The 23,280-nt window shown below is 41.1% G+C and overlaps 1 protein-coding gene, 1 long non-coding RNA gene and 1 pseudogene across 22 annotated transcripts in view, besides 1 other annotated feature; 1 reads left to right on the top strand and 2 right to left on the bottom strand.

Annotated features, from left to right (window-relative positions):
• CFAP57 (cilia and flagella associated protein 57) overlaps positions 1-23,280 on the bottom strand; it is an 82,029-nt gene that overhangs the window by 41,565 nt on the left and 17,184 nt on the right. For 12 of the 17 annotated variants that reach the window (XM_011540796.2, NM_001195831.3, XM_011540793.1 and 9 more), the window contains 5 exons: positions 15,102-15,241; positions 14,148-14,313; positions 13,291-13,404; positions 5,862-6,074; positions 2,878-3,051 (listed from right to left, as the gene is read on the bottom strand). In XM_011540796.2, the coding sequence (XP_011539098.1) occupies positions 2,878-3,051; positions 5,862-6,074; positions 13,291-13,404; positions 14,148-14,313; positions 15,102-15,241 (807 nt within the window). Of the gene's footprint in view, positions 1-1,915; positions 3,052-5,861; positions 6,075-13,290; positions 13,405-14,147; positions 14,314-15,101; positions 15,242-23,280 lie in introns of those variants that run through there. The other 5 variants (NM_152498.3, NM_001167965.1, XM_047447334.1 and 2 more) reach the window with 4 other exon arrangements.
• The window catches only part of LOC105378685 (uncharacterized), a 68,913-nt gene that overhangs the window by 37,801 nt on the left and 7,832 nt on the right, over positions 1-23,280 (top strand). Inside the window, exons 3-6 of one of the 5 annotated variants that reach the window (XR_007066039.1) lie at positions 1,227-1,344; positions 6,402-6,448; positions 17,144-17,229; positions 17,845-18,748. This is a non-coding gene — a long non-coding RNA (uncharacterized LOC105378685). Of the gene's footprint in view, positions 1-1,222; positions 1,345-6,401; positions 6,449-17,143; positions 17,230-17,844; positions 18,749-23,280 lie in introns of all 5 variants that reach the window. The other 4 variants (XR_007066040.1, XR_007066038.1, XR_007066037.1 and 1 more) reach the window with 4 other exon arrangements.
• Positions 5,402-6,601: an enhancer, noted in NCBI's record as "P300/CBP strongly-dependent group 1 enhancer chr1:43671864-43673063 (GRCh37/hg19 assembly coordinates)". NCBI's record gives its function as "activates an origin of replication core promoter dependent on BRD2, BRD4, P300/CBP, MED14 and CDK7 cofactors, with strong dependence on P300/CBP, by STARR-seq in HCT116 cells {active_cell/tissue: HCT116}" and the evidence as "EXISTENCE:reporter gene assay evidence [ECO:0000049][PMID:35650434]".
• Positions 16,258-16,377, bottom strand: RNA5SP46 (RNA, 5S ribosomal pseudogene 46; annotated as a pseudogene).

Genomic DNA, 23,280 nt, shown 5'->3' with positions numbered 1-23,280 from the left:
CCTGGCTAATTTTTGTATTTTTAGTAGAGACGGGGGTTTCATCATGTTGGCCAGGCTGGTCTCAAACTCCTGACCTCAAGTGATCTGGCTGCCTCAGCCTCCCAAAGTGTTGGGATCACAGGCATGACCCACGTGCCAGGTCAAAGAAGAAATAAGTTCTAATGTTTGATAGCAGAGTAAGGTGACTATAGTTAACAACAATATATTGTATATTTTTAAATTGCTAGAAGACAGGACTTGAAATGCTCCCAACACACAGAAATCATAAATACGCGAGATGGATGGAAACCCTAAATATCCTGACCTGATCATTACATGCTCTATGACTGTAACAAAACATCACAGGTACTTCATAATATGTACAAATACTACGTATCAATAAAAAAGCCATTTTCAGAAGGCCACATACAGTATAATTCCATATACAGTTCTCAAAATGACAAAAGTTATGGAAATAAGAACAAATTAGTGGTAGGCAGGGATTCGGGATGATAGTCGGGAGGAGTGGTAGGACTCTGAAGGGCAGATGGAGATCTTTGTGGGGATGGAACGGTTCTATAGTGTGATTGTAGTGGTGGTTACACAGACTGTACATGTGAGAAATAATTCAGAACTACATACACTGTGGACCATGTCAATTTTCTGGTTTGATATTTTGCTACAGTTCTAGAAGATGTAATTACTGGGGGAAACTGATTGAGGGATACACGGGAACTCTGTGCCATCTTTAAAATTTCCTCTAAACCTATAAGTATTTCAAGATAAAAAGTTAAAACAAAAGGATTAACTGTGAAAAATGTCTTCTCACAATCAGCAGTATGTGTCAAGAATCTTGAGAATAGCAATACTCTTGAATTCAGGAATTCTCTCTCTAGGAATTTAGTCTTAGGAGAGAATCAGAGATGCACATATAAATTTGTAAACTGGGCTGTTCACTATAGATCATAAGATAATTTAAATGCCTAATTGCAAGAGAATAGTAAGTTACAGTCCATCATAGGATAGGATATTTGTGTAGCTACTAAAATCATGCTTCTGAGGAATATTTAATTGTATGGACAAACGCTTACAGTAGTGTGAAGTTAAAAACTAGCAGGCCACGAGACTGGCCTCACAGTATGATCTTAATTTTATTTAAAACACACACACATGGAAATGTAGAAGGAAATGCATCAAAGAAATGATGATACCATTATGAGGATTTTTTTTTTTTTTTTTGGAGACAGAATCTTGCTCTGTTGCCCAGGCTGGAGTGTAGTGGTGCGATCTCGGCTCACTGAAACCTCCGCCTCCCAGGTTCAAGCGATTCTCCTGCCTCAGTCTCCCGAGTAGCTGGGACTACAGGTACGTGCCACCACGCCCGGCTAATTTTTTGTATTTTTAGTAGAGACAGGGTTTCACCGTGTTAGCCAGGATGGTCTCTATCTCCTGACCTCATGATCTGCCCGCCTTGGGCTTCCAAAGTGCTAGGATTACAGGCGTGAGCCACTGCGCCTGGCAAGGATTTTTATTTTTAAAATAAATATGCATTGCTTCTATAATCAGAAAAATAAATATGTTATCCACAAAACTTAGCAGATCTGAAGGGAAGAGGTGGAATATGTTGTAGTAATTTACTTTGGACCCAAGGCCCAGGCTTGGTACAGAAATGTTCTGTTTTATAATGAGAAACCTTTTCTTAATACAGCTAGTGTTGCAGGTAAGCCACTAAGGAGTTTGGGATATAACTCAAAACCTCAGGTGCTGTGTCATTCAATCTGCAGAAAGAGAGAGTAAGGAAGAAGAGACACATACCTTCCCAGTGCCTGTTTTTTGGGGGGTCCAGTGTAGGTATAGACATTACTTTTTTTTTTTTTGCACTATGAATAACTTTTAATTTACTATTGGCTATGATTTCTTGGCAACCATTTCGCGTGCAAGATAATTCTTTTTTATTTCATTTTTAAAATTGTCGTAAAATACATATTCTGTAAAATTTGCTATCTTAACCATTTTCAAGTGTACAGTTCATGTTATTAAATACATTTGTAATGTTGTGCAGCCATTGCCACCAACTACCCCCATAATCCTTTTGTCTTGTAAAACCAAAACTCTATACCTATGAAACAATCATTCCTCATTCCCCCTTCCTGCAGCCCCTGCCAACCACCACTCTGTCTTTGTGATTCTGACTGCTCCAAGTATCTCCTAAAAGTGGAATCACACTGTACTTATCTTTTTGTGGTTGGCCTTATTTAATTTAGCATAACATCCTCAAGGTTCATCCATGTGGTAGCACATTGCAGAATTCCCTTCCTTTTTAGGCAGGGTATTGTTCCATTGTATAGATATACCATCTTTTGCTTATGCATTCGTCTGTCGATGGATGCTTGGTTGCTTCCACATTTTGACTGTTGAACATAGATACTACTTTATGAGAAGGGTGAATGGAAGGACAATTTACAAATGTGTACTCATGGTATTGCCCCTGGGGTGGCCTTTTGTACCCTCAGGGAGAGGTAGGGGCCAATCTTCAGGGCTATGGCTCCTTTCAGTCTGGGGCATTCTCTGGAGGAGGAGGCAGCTGTGGTCAAGTGCAGCCCACACTCACGGCAGCTACGGCATCCACCAAACGGCCCCTTATTATGCATAATATTATGGTGAAAACGTTGTACATACATTTTTAGGTGTATCTCTGATGATTTCCTAGGCTAAATTCCTGGAAGTAGTTTAAACAAAGAGTATATTCATAGTCAATAGATGGTGATTCAATGAATGATGGATGAATAAATAAGAGAGAAGAAGGAGAGAGAAAAGACATTGGGAGGTTGAAGGGATGAACAAGGCACGTAGCAGGCAGGTGTGGGACTGGGTTCCTGGGGAGAGGGCCCTGCTCACCTTGGTGATAGGACCGGCATGGGCCTGGTACTCATTGAATTCCTTCTGCAGAGGCAGAGGGTACTTCATGGCACGAATGGTTCCCACCGAGGTGCCCACAAACATCATGCGTCCAGAATGCGAGATGACAATGGCGGTGTAGGTGACATCAAACGCCGATATCTCTCGAAGGATCTGAGACACAGGCAGCTCTGCTCAGTGTGAGGGGTCGAGCTGTGGCCCCCACGTCCCAGTGCCATACTCTCTCGCCCTCTGCTCTAACAGATCCCTAGGGGCTTGTCTTTAAAAAATGCTTTTTCTATCCCCTTTTGGCATCCGGTATAGTGCCTAGCACAAAAAAAGGCGCAAACTAGATATTCCTTGTTGTGTTGCTGGTAAATAACCAGGTTCATGAGTTAGGAATAATACTAATAGAGAGAGATATTCATATAGCACTTACTATGTGCCAAGCACTGTTCTGTGCCTTCTCCATGTTGCAACTCATTCAATCCTCACGAAACCCTCTGAGGCAGTTACTGTTATCCCTAGTCTATGGATGACGGACCATCTGTGTGAAAGGCATTTGCTTCAACTCATGTACCTGGGTGGGCTCCAGTCTCTGCTTTGACTGCTATGCATGGGTGCATTTCAAAATGAGAATGGGCTATTGCTCATAAATGCATTCAGCAAGCATTTATTAATGCTCATTACATAAGCAAAACCATACATTAGTCTCCCCTTATCCTTGAGGGATATGTTCCAAGATCCCCAGTGGTGCCTGAAACCACAGATAGTACTGAACCCTATATATACTATGGTTTTCTCCTATACGTACATAACTATGATATGGTTTAATTTATAAATTAGGTCCAGTAAGAGATAAATAATACCTAATAATAAAATAGAACGGTTATAAGAATACTGTATAAAAGCTGTGTGAATGTGATTTCTCTCTCTCAAAATATCTTACTCACAGTATGGTACTCACCTGTTTTTGGACCTTGGTTGACCACAGGTAACTGAAACTGTGGGTAAGGTGGGACTACTGTACTATCAGAGCGCCCCTTCATTCCCTCACTCATTCATGCACTCATTCACCCACCCACCTACACACATATTTTTTTTTTCTTTTATTATTATTATTGTTATACTTTAAGTTCTAGGGTACATGTGCACAACGTGCAGGTTTGTTACATATGTATACATGTGCCATGTTGGTGTGCTGCACCCATTAACTCGTCATTTACATTAGATATATCTCCTAATGCTATCCCTCCCTGTTCCCCCCATCCCACGACAGGCCCCGTTGTGTGGTGTTCCCCACCCTGTGTCCAAGTGCTCTCATTGTTCAATGCCCACCTATGAGTGAGAATATGCGGTGTTTCGTTTTCTGTCCTTGCGATAGTTTGCTGAGAATGATGGTTTCCAGCTTCATCCACGTCCCTACAAAGGACATGAACTCATCCTTTTTTATGGCTGCATAGTATTCCATGGTGTATATGCGCCACATTTTCTTAATCCAGTCTATCATTGATTTGGGTTGGTTCCAAGTCTTTGCTATTGTGAATAGTGCCACAATAAACATACGTGTGCATGTGTCTTTATAGCAGCATAATTTATAATCCTTTGGGTATATACTCAGTAATGGGATGGCTGGGTCAAATGGTATTTCTAGTTCTAGATCCTTGAGGAATCACCACACTGTCTTCCACAATGGTTGAACTAGTTTACAGTCCCACCAACAGTGTAAAATTATTCCTATTTCTCCACATCCTCTCCAGCACCTGTTGTTTCCTGACTTTTTAATGATTGCCATTCTAACTGGTGTGAGATGGTACCTCACTGTGGTTTTGATTTGCATTTCTCTGATGGCCAGTGATGATGAGCATTTTTTCATGCCTACACACACATTTATTGAATGCTGTGCACCACACAATGTGCCAGCTAGTAGGGCTGCCAAGAGGAGCAAAAGATGGCCCTGCCCTAAAGGGGCTTTATTCTGGCACAGCACTGATAGCTGCCATTGAATTAGGACCAGGCTACTCGGGGGTACACAGGAGAGTCACCATACTGTCAGCTGTGTTCCAGCCACGGGAGATCTGCCTTGGGCTAGCTTGCTGCCGTGGTATCTACGCACTTTCCCAGGCACCAGTCACAGGAAAAGTGGGAGGAACCAGCTGGAGGAGCGCACAGCCCATGTTTGTATGATGCATCCTTGCTGAGCTCCTCTCTTTTCCCTTCACTATTTGGAGCCCAATGTAACTGTACGGTTTCAGAGTTTGGGGATTTCAAAAGAATACAGTGGCAAGCCTAGGTGAGAGCAGCTCACTGCACAGTCATGCATCGCTTGATATGGGATACATGGTTAGGCTATTTTGTCACGCAAACATCACGGAGTGTATTTACACAAACCTAGCTGCGACAGCCTACTATACACCTAGGCTATGTGGTAGAGCCTACTGCTCCGAGGCTACAAACCTGAACAGCATGTGACTATGCTGAATACTGTAGGCAACTGTGACGCAATGGAAAATATCTGTGTATCTAAACAGAAAAGGTACAGTGAACATTTGGCATTATAATCTTATGGCATTACAATCTTACAGTCCATGTGGTCCATCATTGGTGTTACTCAGTGCATACCGTAGTTAGGTTTTTACCCCAGGAATGTAAGTGCAGACCAAGGGTAAGAGTACAGTTTAGAGATGACATGACCTCCATGCCTGGAAGGTGGGAGAGAAGTTACAGACAGCAAGTAAAAGGGAAATGAAAAAGAGCCCCGCAATTTACAATTTCACCCAGTCAGGAAGGAAACTAGGCAGGAAATTCAGGAAGTGACGATAACTGAGCTAATCTAAAAGGAATGAGGAGCCTGATGTTATCTTGGGAAGAAGGGGCCCTGTATGCAGAGGCCCTCATTCCGTGCATACTTTGTGCTGTAAGCACGGGAAGCTGTCCCTGCAGATCCGTGCACCAGCCCAGAGGCGGGGCAGGGGCAGACTCACCAAGGAATCTGCAATCTCCTTGAGGGTGTGGTCTGATCCAACAGCAAAGATAATTTTGGCATCGGGGGAGACAGTAACACAGTTGTAGCTGCAAGACTTGAGCACGCATTCTGTCTCTCTCTTTCCTGTGGACAGATTCCATTCATACACAGCACCATCTGTGCCACCAGAAATCAGTTTGCTATCATCTGCATTCCACACAATTGAGCGAATCTGCAGGAGAGGAAGACATATCCAGTGAAGAGTGTACACACACTTACACCCTAACACAGAAAAGGGTGCAAACTCCTTAGGTGCTCCACTAGACTGAGCAGAACGTCCTTTCCTGCTGTAGGCCCTTCTGTTAGCACAAAACATAGCTTCTTGTGAACGTTCACATTCTGTTTTCTATGACGCTTGCAAATTACTGAAGATGAAACACTCTCATTTCTTTTTCACTTTATGAACGTAAAGACTGAATCCTACAGGTTTCTTAAGGCTAGAACCAACCAATTATTGCTGTTTTTTCAAAACATTTTTGAAATAATTATGTATTCACAGAAACTTGCAAAAATAGCACAGAGAGAGTGGACTTCTGGAATGGCACGGTAAGAACCTCAACTTGACCTTCTCTCTGACAATGTAGGTTAACTGGTAAATATGATAAAAAATAATCATTTAAAGTCTTTAGAAGGCTGGGTGCAGTGGATCACATCTGTAGTCCCAACACTTTGGGAGGCTGAGGTGGAAGGATCACTTGAGCCCAGCAGTTTGAGAATAGCCTGGGTAACATAGTGAAACCCTGTCTTTATAAAAATAAAAATAATAAGCTGGGCATGGTGGCATGTGCCTGAGGCAGGAAGATGGTTTGAACTGGGGAGGCTGAGGCTGCAGTGAGCTATGAGTGTACCTCTGCCCTCTGGCCTCAGTGACAGAGTGAGACCCTGTCTAAAATAAAATAAATAAAATGTCTCTGGAAATTGTCCTCAGGGAATACAGCAAATGGAAAAACATTTATTCAAGAAAATCTACTCAATCCCAGTAAGAACAGAGTCTGCTGCATTTAAGCCATGACTCGCTCTGTTACGGCCTCAGCTCCAGAAACTTCACTGCTGTGCACTCTGGGCAGATGTGGCCAAGATAAGCGACTCCCTCTCCCCATAGCTCCTGATCTTGGGCTATGGTTTCGGTCTGGAAAGGGAAACTGCTGGGATTTCTTATTCTTACCCCAGCCCCATGTTGCAGAAGCTCTATTCCAAGCAGGTGTGGCCAAGAGGGCTCAGACTCTCTTCCCCTCGGCCCATTGTCACTTGTTGGAAGAAACTCCACTCTAAGCTCAGCATACTGAGAATAACTGTGCCCTAATGATTCCTGACCCAGTTTGCTTATAGAGTGAAAGTTCCAAGCCATGAAGGGCAAGCCAAAAAGACCAGGGGCTTACATACGTGCACACACACATACACACGCATGTGCACACACACGCACACACCTCAAGTGTCACTCACAGAAGTGAGGATGTTACTCCTGGAAAAGCAGGTCCCCGCCCCAGCTCTGGTGCAGTGGAGCAAAGGTTCTGTCTGTGGGAAAGTCAGGTGCTAAGACAGGGAGCTCTACAGCTCTGCTTGAGGGGGCTGACTTTATTTGGAATAGAACATGGAAAAGTCCATGCCTATGGGCATTGTCTAAAACAGTGGAGATCTTGGTGGAAAGTGATTAAGAGGAGGCTGATAACTCCAGGATGTAAGCAAAATGATATAGAGGAGTGGAATTTTGATAGAACAAGGGAAAGGGACAGAGAAGAAGAGTCCTTCAGGGATAACAGACAACTCTAGAGGCTGGAAGGTCTTGTGTATGTGTTAGACTGTACTGATTCAGGTGCAGTCAGAGTGGGATATGAGGAAAACTTGAAAGCATCTCCTAAGCTACACAAAGACCCGTTAACATAGGGCAGAGTCTCACTGGCACAACGGGCCTACCAAACACAACAGTCTACCAAATGCGGAACATTAAGCTCTCCCGACCCAGGGGCATCTCCTAGGAAGCCAGGCTTAAAAATGAAATCATATTCATCCCTCGCAGCCTGGAAGACTCTGTGCATGCCCAAGGCTGTACCCTCTTATGAACAATCAGAAAGGGGTCATCCAAACTACCAGTCTCTGGCTGAACATGATGCAAAAGCCATCACTCTCTGAACTGTGATAGCATTTTCCAAGCCACACATAAATCTGGTAGTAAAAGGTAAAAACCTAATTGTCTAAGGGGGTTTATGCACCATCTGTAACTAATAAGCAGCTTAGGCAACTCATGGGCAACCCTAGGTAGCCAGGCTAAAAGAAAAGATGAAAAATAGATCTGAGTAGTGATATGAGACACTGCTCACTACAGGGGAAACAGACTTTACAGAATTAGCTCAGCCAAGTCACGAAACAGATAATCAGCCAACCAACCAACAACAATGCCCTGGGGGGACACATATTCAGAACTGCTACAATATATTGTCTAAAATATTCAGCCAACAAAAAATTGAAACATAAACAAACAAACAAACAAACAAAAAGAGTGTAACCAATAAGAAAAAGAAAGAAAGAAAGCATTCAGGCAATAGAAATTGCCTTTGAAGGGGCCCAGATGGTAGATTTTGCGGACAAAGACTTCAAAGTAGCTAATACAAATAAGTTCAATTAACTAAAGGAAACTACGCTTAAATAATTAAAGGAAGGTAGGATGACAAGCCTCATCAAATAAAGAATATAATAAGAAAACAGAAATTAGTTCAAAAATCAAATGGAAATTCTGGAGTTGAAAAGTACAATAACCAAAACGAAAAATTCACTGGAAGGCTCAACAGTAGATTTGAGCTGGCAAACTTGAAATAGCTCAATAGAGATTGTGCAATTGGAAGAACAGAGAGAAACACTAATCAAGAAAAATTAACATTAACAGAGTTTCAGAGAAATGTGGGCATCCATTAAATGCACCCACGTATGGTACTGTAATGAGAGCACTAGGAGAAGAGAGAAAAACAACAAATATTCAAATAAATAATGCTGAAAAATCTCAAATTTGTTGAAAAACATTAACCTACACATCCAAGAAGTACAATAAACTCCAAGTAGGATAAATGCAAAGAAATCTAGATCCAGACACATCAAAAACAAAATGTTGAAAGCCAAAGATAAGAAAATCTTGAAAGCTGGCCGGCCACGGTGGCTCACACCTGTAATCCCAGCACTTTGGGAGGCCAAGGCAGGTGGATCATGAGGTGAAGAGATCGAGACCATCCTGGCCAAAATGGTGAAACCCTGTCTCTACTAAAAATACAAAAATTAGCTGGGCATGGTGGCGCACACCTGTAATCTCAGCTACTCAGGAGGCTGAGGCAGGAGAATCGTTTGAACCCAGGAGGCAGAGGTTGCAGTGAGCCGAGATGGTGCCACTGCACTCCAGCCTGGTGACACAGCAAGACTCCGTCTAAAATATATATATAAATATATATTTCTATCTGTGCTCATGAAAAAGACTAGCTTATTTTTTTTTCTTGTGGTGTCTTTGACAGATTTTGGTATCACAATTATTTTGGCCTCATAGAACATAACTGGAAAGTATTCCTTCTTTTTCCAATTCTCTAGAAGAGTTTTTTTCAAGATTAGTGATAGTGTTATTTTTTTTTCCTTAAATGTTGATAAAATTCCCCAGTGATAAGATCTGGGCCTAGAGTTTTCTTTGTAGAAAGGTTTTAAGTTACAGATTCTTCTTGTTTTGTTTTGTTTTGTTTTGTTTTGAGGCAGAGTCTCACTCTGCTGCCCAGGCTAGACTGCACTGGCATGATCTCGGCTCACTGCAACCTCCATCCCCCAGGTTCATGCCATTCTCCTGCCTCAGCCTCCCGAGTAGCTGGGACTACAGGTGCCCACCACCATGCTCGGCTAATATTTTGTATTTTTAGTAGAGACGGAGTTTCACCGTGTTATCCAGGATGATCTCCATCTCCTGACCTCGTGATCCGCCCACCTCAGCCTCCCAAAGTGCTGGGATTACAGGTGTGAGCCACTGCGCCCAGCCTACAGATTCAATTTTTATAGGAATTTGTCAGTTTCATCTATATATTAAAATTTATTTGCATAAAGTTCATAATATCCTTTCAATTTTTTTTTCATTTTGTTTTTTTTTTGAGGTAGGGTCTCACTCTGTTACCCAAGGTAGAGTGCAGTGGCATAATCTCGGCTCACTGCAACCTCCGCCTCCGAGGTTCAAGCGATCCTCCTGTCTCAGCCTCCTGAGTAGCTGGGATTACAGGTGTGTGCCACCACACCCGGCTGATTTTTGTAGTTTTAGTAGAGATGAAGTTTCACCATGTTGGCCAGGCTGGTCTCGAACTCCCGATCTCAAGGGATCCGCCTGCCTCAGCCTCCCGAAGTACTGAGATTACAGGCGTGAGTGACTGCGCCCGGACCCCTTTCAGATCTTTTTAATGTCTATAGGACCTTTAGTGATATCCCCTTTTTAATCCTCATATTGGTTGTTGGTATCTCCACACTCTTAATTTTTTCTTCATCAGTCATGCCAAGGGTTTGTCTATTTCGTGTTTTCAAAGAATCAAATTTTGGCTTTGATGATCTTTTGTCTGTTTTCTATTTTATTAACTTCTGCTCTTATCTTTATTTCCTGCCTTTTATTTGAATTTAATTTGCTGTTCTTTTTCTAACTTCTTGAGATGGATGCTTATGTATCTTTTTTCATTTCTAACACAGTATATGTATTTAAGGTTATACATTTCCCTGTATGCATAGCTTTAGCTGCATCCTGTATCTGTATTTGTAAAAAATGTTACACATGTCATTCTAACATATATCCCTAATTAGAGACCAGTGTTTTAAGTACTTGTAAAGTGATGAAACAAATGGCTGTTTTCCTGGACTGGTGAGCTTGGGCATCAGAATCACTTTCTGTACTTTCATCCGCATCTCCACAGTCACTTGAAGACTAATTATATTGCTGAAGCTGAGGAGGCTCAGCAGCTCTCATTAATAATGTCCGTGGGCCAGGCGCGGTGGCTCACGCCTGTAATCCCAGGACTTTGGGAGGCCGAGGTGGGTGGATCACCTGAGGTCAGTAGTTCAAGACCAGCCTGACCAACATGGAGAAACCCCGTCTCTATTAAAAATACAAAATTACCCGGGTGTGGTGGTACATGCCTGTAATCCCAGCTACTCAGGAGGCTGAGGCAGGAGAATCGCTTGAACCTGGGAGGCGGAGGTTGCGGTGAGCTGAGATTGTGCCATTGCACTCCAGCCTGGGCAACGAAAGCGAAACTCTGTCTCAAAAAAAGAGTTTGTGTTACTTGGGAGGCTGAGGCAGGAGAATCGCTTGAACTCAGGAGGTGGAGGTTGCAGTGAGCCGAGATCACGCCTCTGCACTCCAGCCTGGGTGACAGAGTGAGACTCCGTCTCAAAAACAAACAAAAATGCTTGTGTTTACATAGCACTTTCACTTTCCACACATTTTTACTTTTCCTTCCAATGATCTGTTATTTGCTAAAGTCAACGGTCAGTTTTGGACTTTACATGACCTCCCTCTGACATCTAGTACCACTGACCACTTCAACCTTTCAGAAATTGTTTAGTTCCTTGGCTTCTTTGAGATAATTATCTGATTCCAAGTTCTCTTTGTATCTTTATTTTCAGTCTTTCATCGGCTCCTCTTCTTTCACCAGTCTCTTAAATGTTGGTCTTCCCTCTGCTGTCCAATATTCTTCTCAGATTCTACATAGGCCCTTGGTGATCTAATCTATGCCTCTGACTTCCTCTACTTTCTAATTCCCCGAATCTTCATACTCAGCCCTGACTTCTCTCCTGACCTCCACACACATACATCACACTTCTGGGCACGTCAAATATCACATGGCCAAAATGGAACTTCATCTCTTTCTTCTCTCTGCCTCCGCTACTAAAGTCATGGTTTAGTTCCTAACCCAGCTTTCACCTTCACATCCTAACTGCTCTCCATCACTCCAATTTCCTTCCACTCTAATCCTTCCTCAATACTGTTCAGAGAGTTACCTTTCTGATCCCATTACTTTCTTGCTTAAATCCTTTCCGTTGTTTCTCGTCACCTAGAGACTAAAGTCCAATTCCTTGGCATGGCATACACTACCTTCTGCGATGCAGCCAACCTTTCCTACTCCCTCTATCATTGCTCAAATGTGTCCAGTGTTCCAGCCATATGAACCAATGAGCACTGTCCTATTTCATACCTCCATTTCATCATCTCCAACAAGTCCTTCTGCCTAGAATGCCTCTCTTTTCCAATGGCCTCTTATCTCCAAATTCATCTGCTGACTTCTTACCCTTTCTATGCCTCTCCCTCTTAATCATGCCTCACATCTAATCTACTACTCTAGGACCTAGTGATTTTACTTTCTTTTTTTCTTTTGCTTTTCTTTCTTTCTTTCTTTCTTTTTTTTTTTCAGACAGGGTCTTACTCTTGTCACCCAGGCTGGAGTGCAGTGGTGTGATCATGGCTTATTGCAGCCTTGACCTCCTGGGCCCAAGTGATCCTCCCACCGCAGCCTCCCAAGTAACTGGGACCACAGGTGTGTGCCACCACACCTGGCTAATATTTTTTACTTTTTGTAGAAACAGGGTCTCCTTATGTTGCCCAGGCTAGTCTCGAACTCCTGAGTGCAAGCGATCCTCCTACATCAGCTTCCCAAAGTGCTTAGATTATAGGCATAAGCCACCACGACTTTACTTTCTAAAATCATTTGAATCCATCCACTTCTCCCTAACTGTATCACCACCACTATTATCTATGGTGTAGATATCCACAATAGCCTCCTCACCATTTCTACCCTCGCCCCCTTCAATAGTCTTCACTCTGCTGCCAAAGTAATCCTTCAAAATGCAAATCCGGTCATATTCTCTGCCCTGAAAGTCTTCCATGATTTCAAGAAATAAGAAGGATAAATCCTTACAAGGCCTACAAGTTTCCATGCATTTGGGCCCTTGTGACCTCTCCAATCTCAGCCCATCTTTACCCCACGGTTTATCCTGGCACCACATTCCAGGCCCACAGACTTTCACGTTCTCTGACACCCTATGAGTCTCCCATCTCTGGCCTTTGGATCCCTATCTGCAGTGATTATCCCCACCAGTTGTGTCTGATTAACTCCTACTCACTCTTATAGGACCAAGCCTTTGCAAATACAGCCACCTAAATTATGCCGCCCCCTTCATTATTTCTCTCACAACAACACCATGTTTTTCTTTCAGTGGAACTGCAATTAGTAACTACATTTGTCTGTGCATTTGTTTTATTGTCTCTTTCCCCAAGTAGACAGTGAACCCATGAGGAAAGGAACCATCTCTCTTTTGTTCACCTGTATCCCACTGGCTGGCGGCATACTTGGCTCCGTGCCCCTTGTTTCCCCAGAGACTGTTCACTCACTTACCTTCCCTGTGTGTCCTTTCAGGCTTGAGATGTTCTCTAGGCTCGTGGTGGTGTAAACGTGAATCACATTTCCATTGACTGCAGCAAACAGGTGACCTCCATTGCTAAAGGAACACTATAGGGAAAGACAGCAAGAGAGCAAGCAAGCAGGAAGTGAGCAGTCTAATTAGAGGTTACAGTCAAGAGGTGCTTTTCCCAACGAGTTCAGACTGAAACTACGTGTGAGGGTGGGAGTGGGGGGAAGGTGCAAATGAGACTGAGGAGTGGCTGACATTTTCAGACACTTTCATTATTCCTGTAACTCATAGTGGCCAGATGCTGACACTGTCAGGCCCACAAATCATTAAGCCGTTGGGACCACAAGCAATCATTTTGCCTGTAGAAGCATGTTTCAGAGCCGGGGAAGTAATTCCTGAAATCATTGCCTTGTTTCTGCAAGACACCTCAGGGAAAGCTGATGCGCTCTTTATTACCTCTCACCATTGATGCTTATTTTTCCCTGGCTCCTCCGTCTCCAACCTCACCTTCTTAGCTGTGACTCTGATTCTGAGATTACTTTTCTTTTAAAATATTTGTTAATATTCCACAATTACAGACAGGACTTATCATAGCGGGGATCTCACAAGGTTTTAGGTTCAATGAAATAGTCTGGTGGACATAAGAATATGGGGATGGAACCATATACTCAATAAGGTTGCTGGGAAAATAACTGGATTTCCTCCTTCCCCCTTTTTTTAAGCCACTGTAGTTCTCCAAGACAGATTTTGGTCCCACCTCCCCAGATCATGTTAGTTCCTGATATTTCAGCCGTGGCTTTCTAAGAAACTGGACTTTTGTCTTCAGCAGTTTTTTTTTTACCTCTCCGCATCCTCTAACAGAGTATTCTTTGAAAGAACGTATATCATCAATGAGTAGATTCATGAGGCGTAGTTTGTCAGCAAACCCTACTACAATGAAGTGTCCAGATGGATGAAGGCTGATGGAATATGCCTCTTCTTGGTATTCCTTAAATAGTTCCAGGGTGCTGTGAAAAAGATCAATTACTGAATTGTAAGCTTAGCTCACTAAATCCTTCCAGTCATCTACTGTATCTGATATATATTGTTATCATCGTATTTGAGACACACTACTGTTTGCAATTGTTGGTTCCTCTCTTTTCTAGATCTTGGTTATTAGGGGATAATGTCCAGCGTGGAGCATGGTAGATAGGGAGACTGGTCAAGGTGTGGTCTAGCGATGCTGAAGACATAGCTCTGTTTATATTCCAAAATTCATGAGTATTGTCCAAGTATTTTTTCCCCAGAAGCCCCAGAAGTTGTACATAAGAACAAAGAAAACAGTAGGGGGTGGGGGTCCACCTAGGGTTGGAGCTTCCCAGGGAAGCTGTGCTGGAAGGTAAAGTCAGGAGGGAGTTGGGGGTGGTTGAGATAGTGATGTCCTGGGAGAAAGATGAGGAAGAAAGGGTCTGGAGAGCTCCCTGAAGCAAAGAGCAGTTCCTGTGGGAAACAAGGGGATAGGAGAGCTGGAGGGACCCAGGAGTTTATGTAAGAAGGTGAGAGACTGAGGTGTTGTCTTCATCTCTTCATGTCCCCAGTGTCTAGCATGTGGTAAGCATTAAATAAACCACAAAGTAGTTTTCTAGCCCACGCAAGAGTGAGAAACAGGTAGGTTGACTGACTTGATTTTTTAAAAATCTTTTCCAACTGAAAGCTTCTAAATAATTAAAGTTTGGAACACTGTAATTAAAATAATTCACATAAATTCACAACTGGGGTCTTGCATAATAAAGTAGGCAAGCCTTTCATTCCTTACTTTGTTTCATAATTCCAAAGGCGGATGGATCGATCCAGAGAACAGGTGGCTATAAGGGGTTTGCGGATGCAGGTAGCTAGACCGGTGATGGGTGCTGAGTGCAATGGATACATCAAATACTCAAAGTGAGCAGGCTCCCCCTAGAGAAATCACACAGAACAAGATCCCGCAGAGTAAGCAAAAGGCTGGCTGTACATGTCAGCTCTAATTAGTTCCCATGAACATTAATTAGCCTGGGTGCACAGAAATCAGGCTGTGGCTAAACTGTTTGAATATTATGCATATTTTCCTGAGCCAATATTATTATTATTTTTTATTTTATTTTATTTTATGTTTGAGATGGAGTCTCGCTCTGTCCCCCAGGCTGGAGTGCAGTGGCGCAATCTCATCTCACTGCAAGCTCCGCCTCCCGGGTTCACACCATTCTCCTGCCTCAGCCTCCCGAGTAGCTGGGACTGCAGGCGCCTGCCACCATGCCCGGCTAATTTTTTTTTGTATTTTTAGTAGAGACGCGGTTTCACTATGTTAGCCCAGGATGGTCTCGATCTCCTGACCTTATGATCCGCCCACCTTGGCCTCCCAAAGTGCTGGGATTACAGGCGTGAGCCACCATGCTTGGCTGAGCCAATATTATTTTTAAACATTATTTTAATGGCAATAAAATATTTTCTTCAATGGATATCTTAGAATTTAATTTAACCCTTCCTCTGCTGTAGGAACATTTAAGTGGCTTCCAATTTTTGTTATTTATTATAGGAATAACACTAGACTAAATATCCTTGCACAAGTCTTTGTATCTCTCTGATTATTTCCTTAGTATACAGTTCTAGAAGTGGAATACTGGGAAAAATTGTATGAATGATTTTTAAGGATCTGGATAAATAATGCCAAGTTTCTCTCTGGAGAGACTGCACTAATTATCACCAGTAGCAAATGAGAGTTGGATGGATGATTTTAAATTGAAATGCATCCTACTGCACTGGTTATGTAGGTTACAGATGTCTGTCATCAGAGGCATTGTTTCTGGAACACCTGAATGAGGAGTGATCGTTGGGAAATTTAATGAGATGTACATATTTAGGTCTGTTCGCAAGCCAAGACAAAGGCTGAAATGGATTTTTTTTTTCAAATTCTGCCCCTCTGCCACTTATAAATTTATCTGCATCCACTCTATCCTACGCTAGTATCTCCCATCCAAGTATTAACCAGGCCTGACCCTGCTTAGCTTCTGAGATCAGACAAGATCAGGTGCATTCACGGTGTTATGGCTGTAGACCCTACTATCTCAGAGAAAGAGATGCTATGCTGGGTAGGCAGGCACAGGTTATTGTTATTCTTCTCCATCTGTTACGCTTTCTTTCTCCAATATCTTCAACCTGCCTGTCTCTATGAGCACATTCCTATTAGCTTTTACACACTCAAATCTCTCTTGTCTTAAAAACAAAAGCAATGCTCTCTCTTCCCCCTCTGCCTGAGGAGTCATGCAATGATGGGGAATCACACAAGTGGGCTTACCGGTTTCACTGCAAATGCATGACCACAAACCTCCAGTGGGCATTTAACCCTGTCTGGTAACTCTACCATATTTTTTCAATAAATTCACATTCTAAATATCCAAGATAAGTATTTCATACTGTTTATTCTCCTTTTCAAACATTCCAACCTTTTTCTTCCAATTCTAAATCTCATCTGATGACATTATCTCATATTTCCTTGCTTTCTGTGTCTTTGTTTTCATTTTGTATCTCAGAAGCAGACTTGCAGAGATTCATCATAAATTCATATAAGACAAATTTTATTTTATTTCGCTCCTTTCTTTCTCAATTTTTACTTCTGTTCCTCCCTATGATAAGTAGGCACCAACAAAAGGATTTCATGTATGTCACTGACTATATACATATGTGTTTTATATTTCTATAAATGATATTGTGCTTCAGATCTCTTTCTGTACTTTTACTTTTTTCTCAACACGAAATTTTTAAGGAATCATCTATGTTGCAGTATGTATAATTTGCTTCTAACTGATGTTTGATATTCTACAGTGTGCATCTAGCTACTTTACTTCTTCATTACCACTAGGAATGAACATGTGGATTGTCTTCAACCGTCCATTGCTACAAACACTATGGTGAATATCTTTGTCCATGTTTTTTTTTTTTTCTTTTTTTCTTTTGAGATGGAGTCTCGCTCTGATGCCAGGCTGGAGTGCAGTGGCGTGATCTCGGCTCACTGCAACTCCGCCTCCCAGGTTCAAGCGATTCTCCTGCCTCAACCTCCCTAGTAGCTGGGACTGCAGGCACATGCCACCATGCCCAGCTAATTTTTGTATTTTTAGTAGAGACGGGGTTTCACCATGTTGGCCAGGATGGTCTCGATCTCTTGACCTTGTGATCCACCCGCCTCAGCTTCCCAAAGTGCTGGGATTATAGGTGTGAGCCATCACACCTGGCCTGTCCATGTTCTTTAATGGCTCTGTGGGGTCAAATTCCTGGTGTGTATCCAGTGCAGACTACTGGATAACAAGGTACATGCACTCTCTATTTGACCAAGAATTATCGGATTCCTTGCTAGAATGGCTGTATCAGTTTACACTCCCATCATCACCATATTAGGGTTATCATTTTCCCCTGTCCTCAGAAATCTCTGGTAATAAGTGGATTTTTAATTTTTGACAATATAGTAATGAAACTTCTTATAAAGAAGCATCTCAGAGTTGTATTAATTTGCATTTTTCTGTTCACAGGCAACAAAATTCCCTACGGCAGCACCCAAAGGCTTGAAATTAGCCATTCCAAGTGTGTCCAAAAAACTAAAGGAAACCATGATTAAACAAGTAAAGGTAGAAATGATATGCATCAAATAGAGAAGAATAAAAGGATCCCATCAATATAGGGATAGAACTGTAAGAAAATAGAAATTCTAGAGTTAAAAACTACAATAACTGAAATGAAAAATCCACTAGAGGTGCTCAAGAATAGATCTGAACTGGCAGAAGAATTAGTGAACTTTATAGATCAAAAAAGATTAGCAATTTGAAGAACAGAGAGGAAAAAGAATTAGAAATTTACAGAGCCTCAGAAAAATGTGGGACACCATTAAGCACACCAACTAATGCATAAGGTGAATGCTAGAAGGAGAGGAGAAAGAGAAAGGAACAGAAAAAACATTTTCATAAATAATTGCTGAAAATATTATAAATTTATTGGGAAACACCAGTGTACACATATAGGAAGCTCAATGAACTCCAAGTAGGAAAAACACAAAGAGTTCCACAAACAGACACATTTTGGCAAAAATAATGAAAGCTAAAGATGAGAAGAAAATTTTGAAAGCATCAATAGAAAAATGACTGATCACTTACAAAAGAGTCCCAATAAGATTAATAGCAGATATCTCAGCAACAACAACGGAAGCCAGAAGAGAATGGGATAACATGTTCAAAGTGCTTAAAGAAAAAGCTGTCAAACAAAAATCCTGCAAAGCTATCTTTTAGAACTAAAGGTGAAAAAAAATTACCAAAAAAACTGAAAAAATATGTTGCTAGCAGATATGACTTACAGAAAATACTAAAGGAAATCCTTTAGGTTGAAAGCAAGTTACTCCAGATAGTAATTCAAATCCACACAAAACAAAGAGCACTGGTAAAGGTAATTATAAAAGACAATATAAATATATATTTCATCATCTTTTAGCTGATTTAAAAAGCAATTGTAGGAAACAATATGCATATAATATACTGTTGTTGCTATAACATATAGAAATGTAATATATTTCCCAGTAATAGCACACAAATGGTGGGTGGGAACAAATGTGTACCAGATTAAAGAAATGACTTCAGTGGTAACTCAAACTCAAGAAACAAATGAAAAGAACCAGAAATGATAGTAAAGGTTAACATAAAAAGACTATAAATATATAATTGCTCCCCATTCTAACCTCAGCTTCTTTAAAATATATAAAATTATATAAGGTAATAATTATAAGAATATGTCATTGGGGTTTGTAACACTCATAGATGTAATATATATAACAATATTACCATTAAAAAGGGGAAAGGGAAGGTAGCTATGTGGCAATAACATTTCTATATGTTACTAGCATTAAGTTAGTATGAAATTGAATCAAACTGAATCTGATTATAATGAGTTAAAGTGTGTATGGTAAGCCCTAAGAAATAATTAAAAGTATATAGGGAAAAATAATTAAAGATATTAAAACACTACCTTAAAATTTTACTTAATGTGAAAGAAGGCATAGAGAGGAACAGAAGAACAAAAACCCCATGATACACACACACAAAAATGGTAGACATAAATTCAACTATACCAGTAATAACATTAAATGTGAACTGATTAAACAATCCAATCAAAAGAGATTGTCAGACTGGATAAAAAAAGATTAAATTATATGATGTGTATAAGAGACACAGTTTGGAATCAAAGATACAAATATATTGAGAGTAAAAGGATGAAAAAAGATATACCATACAAACAGCAACAACAAAAATGCTGGTGTGGTTACAGTAAGATCAGGCAAAATAGGCTTCAAAATAGAAAATGTTACTAGAAATAGAGACATATTTTATAATGCAAAATGGTCAACCCATCAGGAAAATATATTAATTGTAAAGATATGTGCACCTAAAAATAGAGCACCCAAATGTATAAAGTAAAAATTGTCAAGAATGAAGGGGAAAATAGACAGCTCAACAATAGGAGTTGAAGATTGCAATATACCACTTTCTTTCTTTTTATTTTTTTTTTTGAGATGGAGTTTTCACTCTTGTTGCCCAGGCTGGAGTACAATGGCATGATCTCGGCTCACCGCAACCTCCACCTCCCGGGTTCTAGCAATTCTCCTGCCTCAGCCTCCTGAGTAGCTGGGATTACAGGCATGTGCCACCACGCCCAGCTAATTTTTTTGTATTTTTAATAGAGACTGGGTTTCGCCATGTTGGTCAGGCTGGTCTCGACCTCTCGACCTTAGATGATCCACCCACCTCGGCCTCCCAAAGTGCTAGGATTACAGGTGTGAGCCACCACTCCCGGCTTTTTTATTGATTTATTTTTGAGATGGAGTTTCACTCTTATTGCCCAGGCTGGAGTGCAATGGCACAATCTTGGCTCACCACAACCTCTGCCTCCTGGGTTCAAGCGATTCTCCTGCCTCAGCCTCCTGAGTAGCTGGGATTATAGGCATGCGCCACCACGCCTGGCTAATTTTGTATTTTTTTAGTAGACACGGGGTTTCTCCATGTTGATCAGGCTGGTCATGAACTCCTGACCTCAGGTGATCTGCCCACCTTGGCCTCCCGAAGTGCTGGGATTACAGGCGTGAGCCACCACACCAGGCCATGCAATACACCACTTTCAAAAACAATCAAGACAAGTAGGCAGAAGATGACAAGAAACAGAAGATCTGAACAACACTAAAAACCAACCAGACCTAACAGACGTATATAGAACACCCAACTCAATAATAACAGAATATACATTCTTCTCAAGTGCATATAGAGCAGTCTCCAGAATAGATTATATGCCAGGCCAAAAACAAACCTTAATAAATTTAAAAGAATAGAAATAATACAAAATATATTCTCTAAGCACAGTGTAATTAAATTAATAATTAATAACAAACAGAAAGAAACTGGAAAACTCACAAATAAGCAGAAATTTAACAACACACTCCTAAAACCAATGGGTCAAAAAGAAATCAAAAGAGAAATTCCAAAATATTTGAGATTAATGAAAATAAAGACATAACATAGCAAAATTTATGGTAAGCAATATTAAGAGGAGTTTTTTTCTGGCTGCAAATACCTACATTTTCAAAAAAGAAAGATCTTAAATAAATAACCTAATCTTCTACCTTAAGACACTGGAAAAAAAAAAAGAGCAACCTAAACCTAAAGCAAGCCAAAGGAAGGAAACAGTAAAGATTAGAGTGAACATTAATGAAATAGAGAATAGCAAAGCAATAGAGAAAAATCAATGAAACCGAAAGCTGATTCTTTAAAGAGATAAAAAAAAATGGGGGGAGGAGGAAAATCATATTAATACAATCAGAAATGAAGGAGGGAATATTACTTTTTTTTTTTTTTTTTTTTGAGACGGAGTCTTGCTTTGTCACCCATGCTGGAGTGCAGTGGCACGATCTTGGCTCACTGCAAGCCCTGCTTCCCGGGTTCACGCCATTCTCCTGCCTCAGCCTCCCGAGTAGCTGGGACCACAGGCGCCCACCACCATGCCTGGCTAATTTTTTGTATTTTTAGTAGAGACGGGGTTTCACTGTGTTAGCCAGGATGGTCTCAATCTCCTGAGCTCGTGACCTGCCTGGCTCAGCCTCCCAAAGTGCTGGGATTGCAGGCGTGAGCCACCACGCCCGGCCAAAAGAGGGAATATTACCATTAAGCTTACAGAAATAAAAAGGATCATAAAGGAATACTATGAACAATTGCATGCCACTATATTAGACAAATAGACAAATTCCTAGAATGACACAAAAACTGAAACTGGCTCAAGAAGAAATAGACAATCTAAATAGATGAAAATAGGTAAAGAGATTAATTAGAAAAAGAAACTTTCCACAAAGAAAAGCCCAGGCCCAGATGACTTCACTGGTGAATTCTACCAAACACTTAAAGAAGAATTAATACCAATTCTTCACAAACCTTCAAAAAATTAGAAGAGGCTGGAACACTTCCCAACTCATTCTATGAGGCCCTGATGCAAAAGCAGTCAAAGACATCACAAGAAAACTACAGATCACTATTTCTTATAAATATGGATACAAAAATCCTCAACAAAATACTAGTAAATTGAATATACTAATATGAAAATGATTATATACTATGGCCAAGTGGATTTTATCCCAAGAATGCAAGGGTGGTTTAACATCTGAAAATCACTTAGTATAATATACTATATTAATAAAGTAAAAAACGAAAACTCACACAATAATTTCAATAGACACAGGAAAAAAAAAATGTGACAAAATCCAACAGCCGTTCATGATAAAAACATTCAACAAACTAGGAATAGAAGGGAACTTTTTCAGCCTGATAAACAGTATCTTCAAAAAAACCTACAGACAGCATCAAACTTAATCGTTAAAGACTGGATGCAGCCGGGCACGGTGACTCACGCCTGTAATCCCAGCACTTTAGGAGGCCGAGGCAGGCGGATCACAAGATCAGGAGATCGAGACCATCCTGGCTAACATGGTGAAACCCCGTCTCTACTAAAAATACAAAAAATTAGCTGGGCATGGTGGCGGGCGCCTGTAGCTCCAGCTACTCGGGAGTCTGAGGCAGGAGAATGGCATGAACCCGGTAGGTGGAGCTTGCAGTGAGCCAAGATTGCGCCACTGCCCTCCAGCCTGGGTGACAGAGCGAGACTCCGTCTCAAAAAAAAAAAAAAAAAAAAAAAGAGACTGGATGCTTTCTCCCTAAGATTAGGAACAAGACAAGGATCTGCACTCATCACTGATATTTGACATGATACTAGAGGTTCTAGCCATGGCAACTAGGCAAGGAAAATAAGTAACAGGCATTCACAGATTGGAAAGGAAGACTAAAACTACCTCTATTGCAGATGTCATGATCTTATATATAGAAAATCCTAAGGAATTCACTAAAAACGCTGATAAAATTTGGATATTTGTCTCCTCCAAATCTCATGTTGAAATGTAACCCCAGTGTTGAAGGTGGGACCTGGTGGGAGGTGCTTGGATCATTGGGGGCATATCCCTCATGAATGGTTTATGAATGGTTTAGTGACATCCCCTTGGTGATGAGTGAGTTCATGAGAGATCTGGTTGTTTAACAGTGTGTGGCATCTCTCACCTCCCTCTCTTGCTCCTGCTCTCACCATGTGATGTGCATACTACCCCTTCATCTTCCACTATGATTGTAAGCTTCCTGAACCCTTACCAGAAGCAGATGCCAGCACCATGCTTCCTGTACACCCTGCAGAACCATGAGCCAATTAAACTTCCTTTCTTTATAAATTACTCAGTCTCAGGTACTCGTTTATAGCAATGCCAGAATAACCTAACACAAAAACTACTGGAACTAATAAATGAGTTTGGCAAGGTTGCAGGAGACAAGATCAGTATGCAAAAATTAATTGTATTTCTATACACTTAGAATGAACAATCCAAAAATGAAATTAGGAAAATA

This window comes from Homo sapiens, chromosome 1 (genome assembly GCF_000001405.40).
Source record: "Homo sapiens chromosome 1, GRCh38.p14 Primary Assembly".
NCBI classification, from domain to species: domain Eukaryota; kingdom Metazoa; phylum Chordata; class Mammalia; order Primates; family Hominidae; genus Homo; species Homo sapiens.
This window is presented reverse-complemented; position numbering and strand designations above follow the sequence as displayed.